At 46.0% G+C, this 16,356-nt stretch overlaps 2 annotated features.

The window, feature by feature from the left end:
- Positions 10,186 to 10,285: an enhancer, noted in NCBI's record as "active region_653". NCBI's record gives its function as "activates an Ori minimal core promoter by ATAC-STARR-seq in GM12878 lymphoblastoid cells {active_cell/tissue: GM12878}" and the evidence as "EXISTENCE:reporter gene assay evidence [ECO:0000049][PMID:35858748]".
- Positions 10,376 to 10,565: an enhancer, noted in NCBI's record as "active region_654". NCBI's record gives its function as "activates an Ori minimal core promoter by ATAC-STARR-seq in GM12878 lymphoblastoid cells {active_cell/tissue: GM12878}" and the evidence as "EXISTENCE:reporter gene assay evidence [ECO:0000049][PMID:35858748]".

Genomic DNA, 16,356 nt, shown 5'->3' on the forward strand with positions numbered 1-16,356 from the left:
TAACTGTGTCTGTTGTATCTGTTGACTTCCTGCTGTGGTGATTTTATTAACCACCCTTTCCCCCTTTCTCTTCCGCTTTTCATATATATATATATATATATATTTTTTTTTTTTTTTTGAAACAGCGTCTCGCTCTGTCGCCCACGCTGGAGTGCAGTGGCACAGTCTCAGCTCACTACAACCTCTGCCTCCCAGGGTCAAGTGATTCTCCTACCTCACCCTCCCGAGTAGCTGGGACTACAGGCACGTGCCACCATGCCCTGCTAATTTTTGTATTTTTCGTGGAGACAGGGTTTCACCATGCTGGCCAAGCTGGTCTCAAACTCCTGACCTCGTGTTCCACCCACCTCAGCCTCCCAAATTGCTGGGATTACAGGCGTTAGCCACCGTGCCTGGCCCTCTTTTTTATATTTATATTTTAAATTTTACTATTGGTTTCTATTATCACTTTGAATACTATTCTTAAATGTCTGTTTCTTCTGTATATTGTATCTCTTGACTCTTCTCTGTGTGAAATGGATAATTTCCCTTGATGTCCCCTCCCTGCTTCTGCCGTTATCCATGAACTAAGCTTTTATTTTTGTATCGCTGAGGTTTATAGCATTTACATTCTATTCGGTAAAGATAATTCAGTTTACCGTTGTTTACCTGTAGATTGATTCTTAACACTGAAAGCCAAATGACATTTATAATGTTATGATTATGTAAATACTTTTACTGCAGAAACAGTGGTGTTTGGCTTTTTTTTTTTTTTTTTTTTTTTTTGAGATAGGGTCTGGCTCTGTCGCTCAGGCTGAGTTGTGGTAGTGTAATCATAGCTCACTGCAGCTTTGACCTCCCAGGCTCAAGTGATATTCCCCTCTCAGCCTCCTGAGTCGCTGGTACTACAGGCATGCACCGCCATGCCCAGCTAATTTTTTTTTTATTTTTGGTGGAGACGAGGTCTCACTATGTGGCCCAGACTGGTCTCGAACTCCTGAGCTCAAGCGATCCTCCCATCTTGGCCTGGGATTTCAGGCGTGAGCCACTGCACCCGGCCAGAACCAGAGATTTGATAAGTCTGATTGCGAGGGAGATGGAATTCCCTGGCACTAAACCTGTGCCAGGTGAGACTGTGAGAACCTTCCAGGCCAATGGAATACTAAATCACAGTTAGACTCAATAAATTAGATCTATATATCAACATGAATGTATCTCAATGATATAATGTGGAATTTTAAAAACAGCATAATATGAATAACAAGGGAAACCGAGTCTGGAGTACACAGGAACTCCCTGTACTAATCTTCAGATTTTTCTGTAGATCTAAAACTATTCTAAAAAACAAGGTTTATTACAAAAAACAAACCAAGCTATTGGGTAATCCATATTGAAAACTGTCATGATCTGGCAGTCAGAGTCATAGATGAGGTAAGAGTAGAGACTGGATGTCACCAATGACCAAAATTACTGCTCTAAGGAAATAGTTTTTGTAAATGAGAAGCCCTCCCTCTAAGGAATGTCTTGGTCATGATGGCAGAAAGTTGACCAGGTTCCCTAAGACCAGTGAACCAAGCCATTCTGGTCCATTTGGATAATGGAAGTCTCCCACATTGGGCAGAGAAAACGGGAGTGGAGATGTTGTCAGTTCCACATGGTATAGAGATAAAGAATGGCTAACACTTACGTAGTGCTGTTTTGAGCCAGGGACTGGTCTAAATGCTTTACCTATATTAATCCTGTATTTGCCTGTATTAATTTACCTATATTAATCCTTACATCAAGTCTGTGAGGTAAGAACTGTTATTATCCTTATTTGACAGATGAGGAAATAGGCCAAGACAGATTAAGTAATTTGCTCAAGATTAGCAAGGACTGGTTTTAGAAGCCAGCCAGTCTCTGGCCAGTTTCTCTGTCTCCTGGTATTCTATTTATTTATTTTATTTTTATTTTTTTGTTTTTTTGAGACAGTCTCACTCTATCACCCAGACTGGAGTGCAGTGGCATGATCTCGACTCACTGCAACCTCCACCTCCCGGGTTCAAGCGATTCTTCTGCCTCAGCCTCCGGAGTAGCTGGGATTACAGGCGCACGCCACCACACCCAGCTAATTTTTGTGTTTTAAGTAGAGATGAGGTTTCACTATGTTGGCCAGCCTGGTCTCAAAATCCTGACCTCAAGTGATCTGCCCGTATCGGCCTCTCAAGGTGCTGAGATTACAGGTGTGAGCCACTGGGCCCAGCCTTTCTCCTGGTATTCTAAAATGTCTCTGTCATAAAAAAAAAATAAAGTAAGGTTTTGCCCAGGTTTTGGCCTAATGCTATTTGCCTCATCATTAGCTGTTTGCTCCATTGACTCATGACAGCACCTCTGCGATATACCTGGTTCCCATTAAAGAATGCAATTTATTTCTTGGCTTTCCTTTTTTTTTTTTTTTTTTTTTGAGATGGAGTTTCTCTCTCATTGCCCAGGCTGGAGTGCAGTAGCAGGATCTTGGTTCACTGCAACCTTCGCCTCCTGGGTTCAAACGATTCCCCTGCCTCAACCTCCCAAGTAGCTGGGATTACAGGTATCCACCACCATGCCCGGCTGATTTTTTGTATTATTAGTAGAGATGAGGTTTCACCATGTTGGCCAGGCTGGTCTCAAACTCCTGACCTCAGGTGATCCACCTGCCTCGGCCTCCCAAAGTGCGTGAACCACCACACCTGGCCTATTTATTGGCTTTCTTTTCTCTTCCATTGATCGATTTGTCTATTCTTGATCAATATTGTTTTAGTTCTATGGTTTTGTGATAAATATTGCTATCTAGGGAGCAAGCTCCACCCCCTCAACTTGGTTTCTATTTTTTATAATCGTCTTAGCTAACTGTATACCGTAGAATCATTTTGTCAAGATCCTTGAAAAATTGTGCTGGGATTTAAATTAGAATTTCATCGAATTTACAGATTAGGGATAAAATTGAATAATACTGAGTCTTCTCATCCATAAATGTACCTTATTTCCATTCTGCCAGGCCTTCAATTCATTTTTGTGATTTTTCTTCATCAAAATATTGCACATTTTAATTAAATTATTCTATTCTTTAATATTTTTATTGCGTTTTCTTTTTTCTTTCTTTTTTTTCTTTCTTTTTTTTTTGTTGAGATAAGGTCTCGCTTTGTGTACAGGCCGAAGTGCAGTGATATGATCACCTGGGCTCAGATGATTCTCCCACCTCAGCCTCCTGAGTAGCTGGGACTACAGGTGCCTACCACCATGTCTGACTAAATTTTTGGTTTTTTGTAGAAACGGCATCTTGCTATGTTGCTCAGGCTGGTCTCAAACTCCTGGACTCAAGCAATCCTCCCACCTCGGCTTCCCAAAGTGCTGGGATTGCAGACATGAGCCACCATGCTGGAGGCGGTGACTCACGCCTGTAATCCCAACACTTCGAGAGGCCTGGGCGGCAGATCACCTGAGCCCAGGAATTCGAGCCAGTCTGGACAACATGGTGAAGCCCTGTCTCTACAAAAAATACAAAATTATCCAGGAGTGGTGGCATGTCCCATACTCCCTGTAGTCCCAGTTATTGGGAGGCTAAGGTGGGAGGATGGTTTGAGCCCAGGAGATGGAGGCTGCAGTGAGCCAAGATTGTGCCACTGCACTCCAGCCTAAGTGACAGAGTGAGACCCTGTTGCAAAGATATTAATAGTATTCTCATGATTCAAAAATCTCTATTGTATTGATTACAGTCCCCTTTTAATTCCTAATACTATTTATTTGTGCTTGCTCTCTCTCAGTCATCCTAGGGTTTTTTGGTAAATCAGATTTTTGCTTTTTTATCTCTGTTTTTTATGATGTTGTTATTATATTTTCTATTTCACCATCTTCTGGTTTTACCTTTCTTATTTACTTTCTTCTATTTCCTTTGGTTTACTCTTGTTCTTTCATTTTTTTTTTAAGAAACAGGGTCTTGCTCTGTTGCCCAGGCCGAAGTGCAGTGGTGTGATCATAGCTCACTGCAGCCTTAAATGCCTACTAATTGGCCTCAAGCTAATTTTTAAAATTAGTTTAAATTATTTTGGAGAGATAGAGTCTCACTATGTTGCCCAGGCTGGTCTCAAACTTGTGGCCTAAAGTGACCCACTCCCAACACTTTGGGAGGCCAAGGTGGGAGGATCACTTGCACCCAGGAGTTTGAGACAAGCCAGACAACACAGTGAGACCTTGTCTCTATAAAAAATACAAAAATTAGCCAGACATGGTGGTGCATGCGTGTATTCCCAGCCTAGAGACAGGGTGTCTAGGGAAACAAAGTATTAGTGCCTAACATTTCTATTTTTTGTGAAGATGAAGTCTCTCTATGTTGCCCAGGCTGGTCTTGAATTCCAGGGCTCAAGCAATCCTCCTGCCTCAGCCTCCCAAAGCACTGGGATTACAAGCATAAGCCATCACACCCGGTGGCTACCTGTTATTATTAAAAATAAATGTAGTTTCAGGCCAGACATGGTGGCTCATGCTTGTAATCCCAGCACTTTGGGAAGCCAAGATAGGAGGATCACTTGAGGCCAGGAGTTCAAGACCAGCCTGGTCAACATAGTGAGACCCCCATCTCTAACTGAAAATAAATAAATCATACATAAATAAATGTTTCAGCCAGGCATGATGATGAACGTGTATAATCCCAGCTACTCTGGTGGCTGAGGCTGGAGGATCCCTTGAGCTCAGGAGTTTGAGACCAGCCTAGGCAACATAGCGAGACCGTCTCTCTATTGAAAAGAAAATGAAAATATACTTTTACTGCATTGTGATCAGTTAAAATTGTCTACATAATGTTGCTTTTTTTTTTAAGTTTTTAAGATTTCCTTTGTGATCTGATATACTGTCATTGTTAATATTCATTGTATGCTTGAAAAATGATTGAAATTCTCAGTTTAATAGTTTAAGCTTTTCCTTTTTTTTTCTTTTTCTTTTCTTTTTTTCTTTTTTTTGAGATAGAGTCTTGCTCTGTCACCCAGGCTGGAGTACAGTGGTGCAATCTCGGCTCACTGCAACCTCCACCTCCCAGTTCAAGCAATTCTCCTGCCTCAGCCTCCCGAGTAGCTGGCATTACAGGCACCCGCCACCGTGCCCGGCTAATTGTTGTATTTTTAGTAGAGACGGGGGTTTCACTGTGTTGGCCAGGCTGGTCTCGAACTCCTGACCTCATGATCCACTCACCTCGGCCTCCCAAAGTGCTAGGATTACAGGTGTGAGCCACGGCACCTGGCCAACAGTTTAAGCTTTTCTTACCTCAAGCTTTTTACTCATGTTTTTCAAATCCATAGTAATCTATAGTAACTTGAATCTACAGAAATCAGTGTTCAATGCAGAAAACAAAAACTACTCTAGATATTTTAAGCACAATGAGGTTTAATACAGGGCACTGGGTGTTTCAAAAGTCACTGGGAGGCCAGGCACAGTGGCTCACGCCTGTAATCCCAGCACTTTGGGAGGCCGAGGCGGGTGGACTGCTTGAGCTTAGAGGAGTTCAAAACCAGCCCAGGCAACATGGCAAAACCCCATCTCTACAAAAAGTACAAAAATTAGCCGGATGTGGTGGCGCATCCCTGTAGTCCCAGCTACTTAGAAGGCTGAGGTAGGAGGATGGCTTGAGCCCAGGAGGCAGAGGTTGTAGAGAGCCGAGATCGCACCACTGAACTCCAGCCTGGGTGACAGAGCCAGACCCTATCTAAAAAATGAAAAAAAAAAAAAAAAAGTCACTGGCAGGCTATAGGAGTGGACCCGAGGCTGGGCCTAGAACACACATTAGAACTGTATTTATAAATACACTGCTAGGGTAACAATACAAAGGTCTAATACAGGCACTGCCACTGCTGCTTCTACTGCCCACATACACAACACTAGGGGCCAGACATTGATGCGGGCAAACTCGATAGCTCCACAGTTGTGCTTGGAAGCAGTAACAGCCCACGGAAAAGGACAATGGTCTTGGCCTCTCATCTGCTTTTCAGATCTTGCACAATAGCAGTAAGTGTTGGAAAATAATTCACATCTGAAACACTCATTGTAAGGGAATCTGTGAAAGAGTTTTGGCTTTCTATCCTCTACAGGAAGGCATACTAGGATGTGGAGGATTGCTTGAGCCCAGGAGTTCAAGGCTTCTGTGAGCTATGATAGCACCACTGCACTCCAACCTGGGTAACAGAGTGAGGCCCTGTCTCTAAAAAAAACTTTTAAATAAAATTTTAAAAAATCGGCTGGGCACAGTGGCTCACGCCTGGAATCCCAGCACTTTGGTAGGCCAAGACAGGCAGATCACTTGAGGTCAGGAGTTCGAGACCATCCTGGCTAATGTGGCGAAAACCTGTCTCTACTAAAAATACAAAAATTAGCTGGGCATGGTGGCAGGCACCTGTAATCCCAGCTACTCGGGAGGCTGAGGCAGGAGAATCGCTTAAACCCGGGAGGCAGAGGTTACAGTGAACCAAGGTTGTGCCACTGCACTCCAGCCTGGGCAACAGAGCGAGACTCCATCTCAAAAAAAAAAATGTTTTAAATCTCACACAATTATTACGAACGTGTCAATTTTTTCCCTTTACCTCTGTAAGTTCCTGCTTTATATATATTTAAAAACACTTTTTTAGGAGCATGCAAATTCATAAATTTTTACATCTTTTTTGGAGATTATAACTTTCATCAGTGCCAAATGTGCCTTTTCTTCCTATTAATGTTCTTCTGCTTTAATTCAGTTTTTCTGATATTAATATTGGTAACTGCTTCCTTGTGGTAGTATTTAGCTAATATAGTTTTGTGGGGTTTTTTGTTTTTTTTTTGTTTTTCAGAGACAGGGTCATGCTGTGTCACCTAGCTTAAGTGCAGTGGCATGATTACAGCTCACTGCAGCCTCTAACTCTTGGGCTCAAGTGACCTCCTGGGCTCAAGTGATCCTCCTGCCTCAGTCTCTCAAAGTGCTGGGAATTCAGGTATGAGCCACTGCACCCTGCTCATTATTCATTTTTTACAGAGGAGGAAAGGTGGGCTTCAAATCCATGACTTGCTAGGGATTGCTCCGCTGGAGATAAGCGGAACTATGTCCAACCTCAAGTCCAGCTCCATCCAAAGTCCCTCCGCCAGACTGTATTCCCACAAGGGCGAGAACCAGACTGGGTCTGCCTTGTTGGCCAGCTCATTCACAGGGCCTAAGGTGGTGCCTGTCGTTTAATATGAAAACACACCCAGAGGCAGTCAGAGAGGGAGGAAGAACACAATGGCACGACTTCGAGGAAGCCAAGGAAAGACTGTTTGGGGGTTTGTGGATTTTTTTTCCCTGATAAATTATTTATTTTGGAATAATTTTAGACTTACAAAAAAGTTACAAAAATATAAGAAGTTCCATCTACCCCTCACCTATTTTCTGTCATTGTTAACATCTTCTATTACTGTGGTCTCTGCGTAAACTAAGAAACCAACATTGGTACATTACTATTAACTAAACTCCAACTTTATGTGGATTCCACCAGTTTTCCCCTTCAGGTCCTCTGTCTGTTCCAGGCTCCCGTGCGGGCTACCACGTTGCATTAGCTACCATGCCCTTAGTCTCCTCTGATCTGTGACAGTTTCTCAGTCATTCCTTGTTTTTCATGACCTTGACAGTTTTGAGGAGTAATCGTCAGGTATTTTGTAGAGTGTTTCTTAATTTGGATTTCCCTGATGCTTTTCTCCAGATTAAACTGGTCTCAGGGGTTTTGGAAAGAATGCCGCACAGGGAAAATGCCTTCTCACATCAGAGGAGGGGGTGCGTGGTAGCCACAGGTGATATTAACCTCCACCGCTTGGTAGAAAGTGCTTTCCAGACTTCTCCACTGCCAAATTACTACTTTAAGAATTTTAAAGGCTGGAGACAGTGGCTCACGCCTATAATCCCAACACTTTGGGAGGCTGAGGCGGGCAGATCATTTGAAGTCAGGAGTTCGAGACCAGCCTGGCCAACATGGCAAAACCCCGTCTCTACTAAAAATACAAAAATTAGCTGGGCGTGTTGCCGGGCATCTGTAATCCCAGCTTGTCGGGAGGTTGAGGCAAGAGAATCGCTTGAACCCAGGAGGTGGAGGTTGCAGTGAGCTGAGATTGTGCCACTGCACTCCAGCCTGGGCAACAGAACGAGACTCCATCTCAAAAAAAAAAAAAAAAAAAGAATTTTAAGGTAGAGAGAGGTAGTGTTTTCAAAGAATATTGAATGATGTGGAGGAAGTGTCATAATGTGCTGTTAAGCAAAGGAAGAGAATGGAAGGAAATCCACCAGAATGTTGACAGTGGCTCTTTCTCAATTGCTTCTTTTCTCCTCTTGCATTTTCTTTTTTTTTTTTTCTTTTCTTTTCTTTTTTTTTTTTTTTGAGACGGAGTCTTGCTCTGTCGCCCAGGCTGGAGTGCAGTGGCGTGATCTCGGCTCACTGCAAGTCCCGCCTCCCGGGTTCACGCCATTCTCCTGCTTCAGCCTCCCAAGTATCTGGGACTACAGGCATCCGCCACCACGCCTGGCTAATTTTTTTGTATTTTTAGTAGAGACAGGGTTTCACCATGTTGGCCAGGATGGTCTCAATCTCCTGACCTCATGATCTGCCCACCTTGGCCTCCCAAAGTGCCGGGATTACAGGCGTGAGCCACCATACCCGGCCTCTTGTGTTTTTTCATTACTCTACAATAAATATATAGGACTTGAAATTTCTGTAACGTTTTCAAAAAATTGTATATAGTATCACCTCCATTATACAGATAACACATACAGACATTTATTCACAGGAACAATGTATAAAATATCCATTAAATGTTGATAGCTAGGGATTATCTCTGGATGGTAACTTTTATTTCTTCATTGTGATTTTATGTATTTTTCCGTTTTTAAATAATAATCTTATTTTACTTTTTTAAGAGACAGGGTCTTGCTCTGTCACTCAGACTGGAGTACAGTAGTGCAATCATAGCTCACTGCAGCCTCCAATTCCTGGGCTCAAGTGATCCTCCTATCTCAGCCTCCTGAATAGTTAAGACTACAGGCATGCCACTGCACCCAGCCCTGTTTATTATACTTTTTAATTGGACTTCAATTGCATAGAATGAGGTTTGTCATACTAATTGGGTATATAGTACACATTCTCATCATCGGTCCATAAAAGGCCTTCTTTGAATCATTTATGAATTTATCTATTAGGGTGCCTATTTTAATAATATAAAAATATCCATGGAACCACTGCCCAAGACGAAAACTAAAATACTGATAAGAACTTACACAGACTGATATGATTCTCCTCACTTTTATCTACCCACCGCAACCCCTAATATGAATCCTGTGTTGTGTTCTTTTGCTTTCTCTTTTATGTAGTTTTATCACACCCACATCTGTTTCCCCAAATTATATGTATTTTTTAATGTGATATGTTGGGATTTACTTTTTTTCCTTTTCTTTTTTTTTGAGACAGAGTCTCACTCTGTCGCCCAGGCTGGAGTGCAGAGGCGTGATCTCGGCTCACTGCAGCCTCTGCCTCCCAGGTTCAAGCGATTCTCCTGCCTCGGCCTCCTGAGTAGCTGGGATTATAGGCATGTGCCACCATACCAGGCTAATTTTTTTTTTTTTGTACTTTTAATAGAGACAGGGTTTCACCATGTTAGCCAGGCTGGTCTCCAACTCCTGACCTCAGGTGATCGGCCCGCCTTGGCCTCCCAAAGTACTGGGATTACAGGCATGAGCCACCACCCGGCCAGGATTTCCTTTTACCACTCAAAATTATATCGCTAAGTTTCATCTATATTGTTGCATTTGCCCAGCTCCTGTGTAATATTTCATTGTATGTTATTCCAAAATGTATGTGTCTCTTCTCCTCTCAGTGGTTCTCTGGATTATTTCCAGGTTTTGTGCTGACAGGAACATTCTAGCATGTGTTTCCTAGTGTATGTGGTAAGAGTTTCTCTTGTATATGAAGTAAGGAGGGAAATTGCTAGGTCATAGTTGTCTTAGTTTGGGTTTCCCTAGAGCAGAGCGTGAGACAGAGACTAAGCTGCTACCTGCGTCTGTTGTTGGTTGTTTATTTGTGGGGTAAGCCCAGGAAGCAGGAGTAAGGTGGCAGAGTGAGATGGGGAAGAGATCAAGGTCACTGCTGGAGAACTTGATTTTTGGAACTGTGGGCCCAGAGAATGGATGACAGGGACATTTTTATCTGCAAGCTCCTGAGCCCCATCTGTCAAGGGCTGCTCCTGGCATGTTATCTTCCCTGCACCTCTAGGCTGTGCTTGGGCTTGGGCTGAAAACAAAAAGACGTATAACTTGTGCTGAGGTGGGACTTGTTAGCGTGGGGTGAGTCATGAGGTCAAGGGAACTGCAGCCGGGGCGCAAATTAGAGGTGAGTGGAGGAGAGGCAATACTGGCACCAGAGGCAGCTGCCAGAGAGGATAAGTGAATGTCCCACTTTACAGACTCACGCCAAACTGTCTTCCTGAGTGCTTGTGCCAATTTACACTCCCATCTGCAGCCTTTGAGAAACCCAGTGAACCCACATCCTCTCTGACACCTGGTACTGTCAGGCTTCTTCTTCTTCTTCTTCTTTTTTTTTTTTTTTTTTTTGTAGATGTAGTCTTGCTCTGTCACCCAGGCTGGAGTGCAGTGGTGCGATCTCTGCTCACTGCAACCTCCGCCTTCTGGGTTCAAGCGATTCTCCTGCCTCAGCCTCCTGAGTAGCTGGGATTACAGGTGCCCACCACCACATGAGGGCTAATTTTTGTATTTTTAGTAGAGGCAGGGTTTCACCATGTTGGCCAGGCTGGTCTCAAACTCCTGACCTCAGGTGATCCACTAGCCTCAGCCTCCCAAAGTGCTGGGATTAGAGGTGTGAGCCACCATGCTGGCCTTTTTTTTTTTTTTTTTTTTTTTTTTGACATGGGGTCTTCTTGCTCTGTTGCCCAGGCTGGAGTGCAGTGGCACGATCACAGCTCACTGTAGCCTCGACCTTCTGGACTCAAGCAATTCTCCCACCTCAGCCTCCCAAGTATCTGGGACTACAGGTTTACTACTGGTGGCGTGCACCACCAGGCCTGGCTAATCTTTAAAAATTATTTGTAGAGATGAGGTCTCACCATGTTGCCTAGCCTGGTCCCGAACTTCTGGGCTCAAGTGATCCTCCTGCCTCAGCCTCCCAAAGTGCTGGGATTACAGGCATGAGCCACCATGCCCAGCCCATCAGGCTTCTTAATGACCAGTTTTCTGGCTCTTGGTGGTTTTCTCTCTCTTTCGTTCTCTATCTTTCATATATATGCATTTGTGTGTATGTGTGTGTTTCTTTTAAAGTCAGAAGTAGAAAGAAATCTTATTTTTTTCAAGAGCTAGTTTACCCGTTGAGAGTGTCAGTTGTTGTAGGGGGGCCTGGAAATATAAAGACTAAGAAAGGACCTAATCATGAGGCCCCGGGTTACTGGTGACTCTGGGGGAGTGGTTGGCAGGGGAGGGAGGTTGATGAAACCTCAGGGGGATAAGGGGCGGGACACCAGGGATGCAACAGAAGAGAGCCGGGTAAGAAGCCTGGTGGCCAAAGGAAGGAGAAGATTGCAAGGTCAGGTGGAGGGCATGTCTAGAAACGGAAGAACTGAGTTTATAGTGAAATAAGGAGGAGCCAGGGAGGAGAGGGTGATGGAGAGGCAGAAGCAAGGGGCAGACTCCGTGTTAAGAGCAATGGGGACCGGGCGAGGTGGCTCATGCCTGTAATCCCAGCACTTTGGGAGGTCGAGGTGGGTGGATCATGAGGTCAGGAGTTCGAGACCAGCCTGGCCAAAATGGTGAAACCCTGTCTCTACTAAAAATACAAAAATTAGCCGAGCATAGTGGCGCACACCTGTAATGCCAGCTACTCGGCAGGCTGAGGCAGGAGAATTGCTTGAACCCGGGAGGCAGAGGTTGCAGTGAGCTAAGATCGCACCATTGCACGCCAGCCTGGGTGACGTAGCAAAACCGTGTCCCCCCACTCCCCCAAAAAAGAGTAATGGGGGCATCACAGTCCTCTCGAGGAAAGAGCATTGACTTTGCAGCCAGACATATGCAGATTCAAATCCCAGGGCTGCCAGTTATGAGGTGTCAGAGAGGCTGAGGATGGAGGAGCACCTAGACCGGAAGGCACTTAACACTTGGTAGTTAGTTCTCTCTCCCTTCTTCCAAGAGTCTGTGGCTGAAGCGAGTCCAGATCTGGAAGCTGGGAGGTTCTGCAGGACTGGCCCTTGGCTGAGTGGGCTGCAGGCTTCGGAATCCCGTGAGTCTCAGGGAGGCCAGGTGAGAGCAGGTTTCTAGAGAGGGAGAACAAAGGGGATCCTATAAGTTGGGGAGAGATGAGGGTGATGACGGAGGAGGCCAAGGTGCTGCTGCCGAAGCAGGGAAATTGCCATTGATGAGGGTAGGGGCTGGGCCTCCCTGGCTGAGGTCCAGCAGGACAGAAGTGAAGTCAGGGCAGAAATGCGCCGGGTCCTGTCCTGCCCAAGAGGAGCCACCTCCACTTCCAGCCATGCCTGCTTATGTCGTGTGGCCAGTGCCCAGGTCCTACCCCAGCTGCTCCTCCTCCTTCGTCCCCATCTCAGGTCCTGGGATCCTTCCACTGTGTTCTCCCAGCCAGAAATCTGGGTGTCAGCCTTGCCTCCCCAACTCAGCAGCCATCTAGGGTATGGACTCAGCCTCACTCTGCTTTTCCCAGGAGGTTCCCAGGGTTAGGGCACCTTCCTGCAGCCCCAGGCAGCTGTCGTCTGGCAGGACTCCCTTCCGTCGTTACGCAGGAGGCTGGGGGCTTCACTGGCTCCCTCTGGCTCCCAGAAGGATCCATCATGGATTCAGCTGAGGGAGCTCTCAGTCTCGCCTTCCTGAGATGCACTGATTTTTGGGAACTGGCTTCTCAAGCTGCTGGGGAAGGGTGGGGAGGGCAAAATTTCATTTTCCATGGATGCCTTTGTGCACATCCCTCAACCTGGCTTTATGAGCTGTGGGAAGGAGGGAAGCAGGGGCGGATCTGGACCACACTGAGCAGCTAGGAGGTGAATTCTGGAGGCAGAGCAGTTTCTGCAAATCACGCTAGCCCGGGGCACTCCCTAACCTGCCCATCCTGTGCCCGCCTAGTCTCGGCCAGCAGGCAGCAGGCACCATTGCTTTGCACTGTGCACGTCAGGCCCTTCCAGGCCCTTCAGCAGAAGGCAGTGGGGCCGCTCAGCCAGCAGTCACCACTGCTGTCCACAGCTCCACTGACCCAGCCCAACATGCCGCAGCTCACTTTGTCACCCCGCCTCCCAGGTTCTCTGATTTGCTAAAGGACGTGTTCATGGTTGTCTATCTTATGAACTGGAAAACCAGAGCAGATCCTCAGGGCCTCAAGCAAGAGGCTCAGTGTTACAGGGCTTGCAGCTCCATGTCCTGAGGCTCAGTTCCTGCCTAGAGATGGACACCGCTGTCCCCCCAGGGCCACCAGCACCAGGACCCTCTGAAGCTGCCAGGTGCCCGTGCCCCTTGGGGCCTCCTCCCAAGGCCCTTGCTCTTCTGCACCGAAGGTCATGCCTACTGCCCCGGGACACTGCTAACTAGCTGTGGGTCACTGGCAAGTGTGTTGGTCATTGTTTGTGCCTCCGACAGTGCTCTATGCAGTCACCACTCAACCTGGTTGCACCTCTAAGTCCTGGGCTGCAGCCAAGGTGGCTGGATTTCCTGTGCCTCTGAGCTGCTAGCTGCTATGGACACAGCCAGATGCTCCAAGGCTCCTGATCCTTGTCCCGAGGGCATGTGAACCGACACAGCCAGGAGGAAACCGGAGCGCTGACTGCTGCAGGTGCATGTGCTTGTGCTTATGAAAAGTGGCCCTTTTCTGAGGCCGCCAGGTGCTGCTGGCAGCCTGACCCAGGCTGCTGAGGGACACACTTGGATCAACATGCTTTATACTGCCAATGGCGACCTGGGTCACCTGGCCCGGCTAGGGTTTGTCAGGTTTCTTCACTGAGAAGATGACTCTTCTCCTGTCCATGCTCCCTTCCATACTTACCCTTAGGAAGGAAGTCATTATGCACAGATGCACAGCCCACGTTTAAGCAGTGGGGCTCATGTGCCACCTCCTTGAGGGTGGACTATCTACATAAATTATTTGGAATCTGTATGGGAGATTTGTCTCTTCTCATTCATTTATTTATATCATTTGTTCAGTCATTTATATTGCTCTGGACTCACGGGTATTGATTTTATACTTTGGGTTGTAATCCATTGCTACTTTATTTGGTTTGTTGCTCGAACTATTCCAGTTTTGGCTGTTGGAGGCTCTTTTAGCCCCCAGAAGTTTTGGCTGTTGGGGGCTCTGGGTCTCTTTAACATTTTGTTGTACCCCCATTATTGTGGGGTGGGATATATCTCCTACCTCCTTGAAGACTTTCCACTCCCCTGATGACAAACATCAAATGCCGTTGAGACTCCAATTCACCCCTCCCTCACTCACCCCTGCCACTTGCTACTCCGGACCCTGAGCCCTGGCTGGGCCTCTGGTCCTGGGGATCTCAGAGCTGCTGGACACATTGAACTTTGAACCTTGCCCTTCCCTTCCCTCTGCCCAGCCACTATCACGCACAAACAATGCCCTTTCCCCTGGTTGAGTCTGTCTGTCCTCCAGTTCCAGCCTCCAAAAAGCTTTATCACTTTAGTGCCAAAGCTGCCAACTTCAGTGTATATGAACAAACGTACTTAAAGGACAAAACAAAACAAAAAGACCTGCCTCTCTATTGCCTTTGAAACCTACCTTATCTTCTTCACTCCCACACTTTAGATAAATGTCCATTTGCCTGCAACTGTTTTTATCACACACCCTCTCATTGGCCAGGGTAGTGTCATGGTCTCTGGAATCCTCCAGACTCTGATTCCAATCCCGGTGACCCTAGGCAGTGAGTTGATCCCTCAAAGCCTCACTTTTAGTCATCTGTAAAAGAGAGTCAGTAATAGCCTCCAAATAGCTCACACTGATTCATCACCACTGTTGATGTCAGGGGATAACTTATGAAAAGTACCTAATATCCTTTGCCTGCCAGGCCCTTCCTTCCTCCATCTGGGGAATCCAAGGTCTGGGTTTCAGTCTCCATGAAACCTTTCCCAACCAACCGGCTGGAGCGAGTGATTCCTTCCTGCCTGCCTGCACCTCCCTAGTACTTCGAGCGATTATTTGCTGACTCTCAGCTCCATCCCACCCCACCTCCAAACAGGCTGCCCAATGGTCAGAGTCATGCTGCATTAGAGCCAGGGGGTTAGGAAGAAAGGTCATGGACTTGGACTTGGACATCACACTTCAGTGTGATCTGCATTGGGACTGTGGCTCTGCACCTCAGCTGCTTGGCCTTAGCAAGTCCCCTAACCTCTTTGAGCTTCCTTTTCCTTATTTATAAAATTGTGATAACAGTAGTTATTTTATACGAATGCTGTGGAGATTTAAGTACATAATCCATGTCAAGCATTTCACATAATGCCCAGCACTCAGAAAGTGCTTAATAAACGGTCCCTTCCTCTCTTCTTAATATCAGGCAGACTGCTCTGCCAGGCTCCGTTTATTGATGGATTCAAGGTTAAAAATAGAGCGGCAGCCTTGGGGAGTAGGTCCTTCAGAGCTGGGAACTGACACCTTTGGTGCTGTGAATAGGGAAGGAGCCTGCCTCTCCCTTCAGGGGCCTCTCAGAGAAACACAAATCTTGATGCCTCTGGCCTTTCTCTCATTGATTTCCAGGGCAGGCGTGCAGAGGCCAGACTGCTCGGCTGGCAAGCTCAGACCAGAGGCTCTGCGATCAAACGCGCTGGCTTCTCACCCCAGCCCTGCCATTCAGTGGCTGTGTGACCTTGGGCAAGCAGTGTTTCCTCTCAGAGGATCATCAGGGAAACTGACAATGCTAACAACATTGATTTTTTTATATATATTACATATATATATCACACATATATTACATATATATATTACATATGTGTGTGTGTGTATATATATATATATATATATATATATATATATATATATATATAAAAGCAAACAACCGATACTGGCAGAGACCTTGTGGTTGATGACCAATCAGCTCTGGGACTCAGGGTAATGGTGTCCCCTCTCTGAGCCTCAGTTTCCATCTCTCTGAATCAGACACAGCAGCCCTGACTTACAAAGCTGTTGTGAGGATGCAGCAAGGTCATGGATAGCAGCTGCTGACAGCGGTAACGCCTGACGGGCACCTGAGTTATCTAATAGTCCATCTTCCAGTCTGAGGGTATGGGGAGACACATTTATTTTAGCTGTTTGTAACTATTGATCCATCAGCCTTGGAAAATGCAAAGAAATGCATCAACAGAAAAACCCTTCACATCTTGAGTTGCTA

The sequence above is a fragment of the Homo sapiens genome, chromosome 1, assembly GCF_000001405.40.
Source record: "Homo sapiens chromosome 1, GRCh38.p14 Primary Assembly".
NCBI lineage: Eukaryota > Metazoa > Chordata > Mammalia > Primates > Hominidae > Homo > Homo sapiens.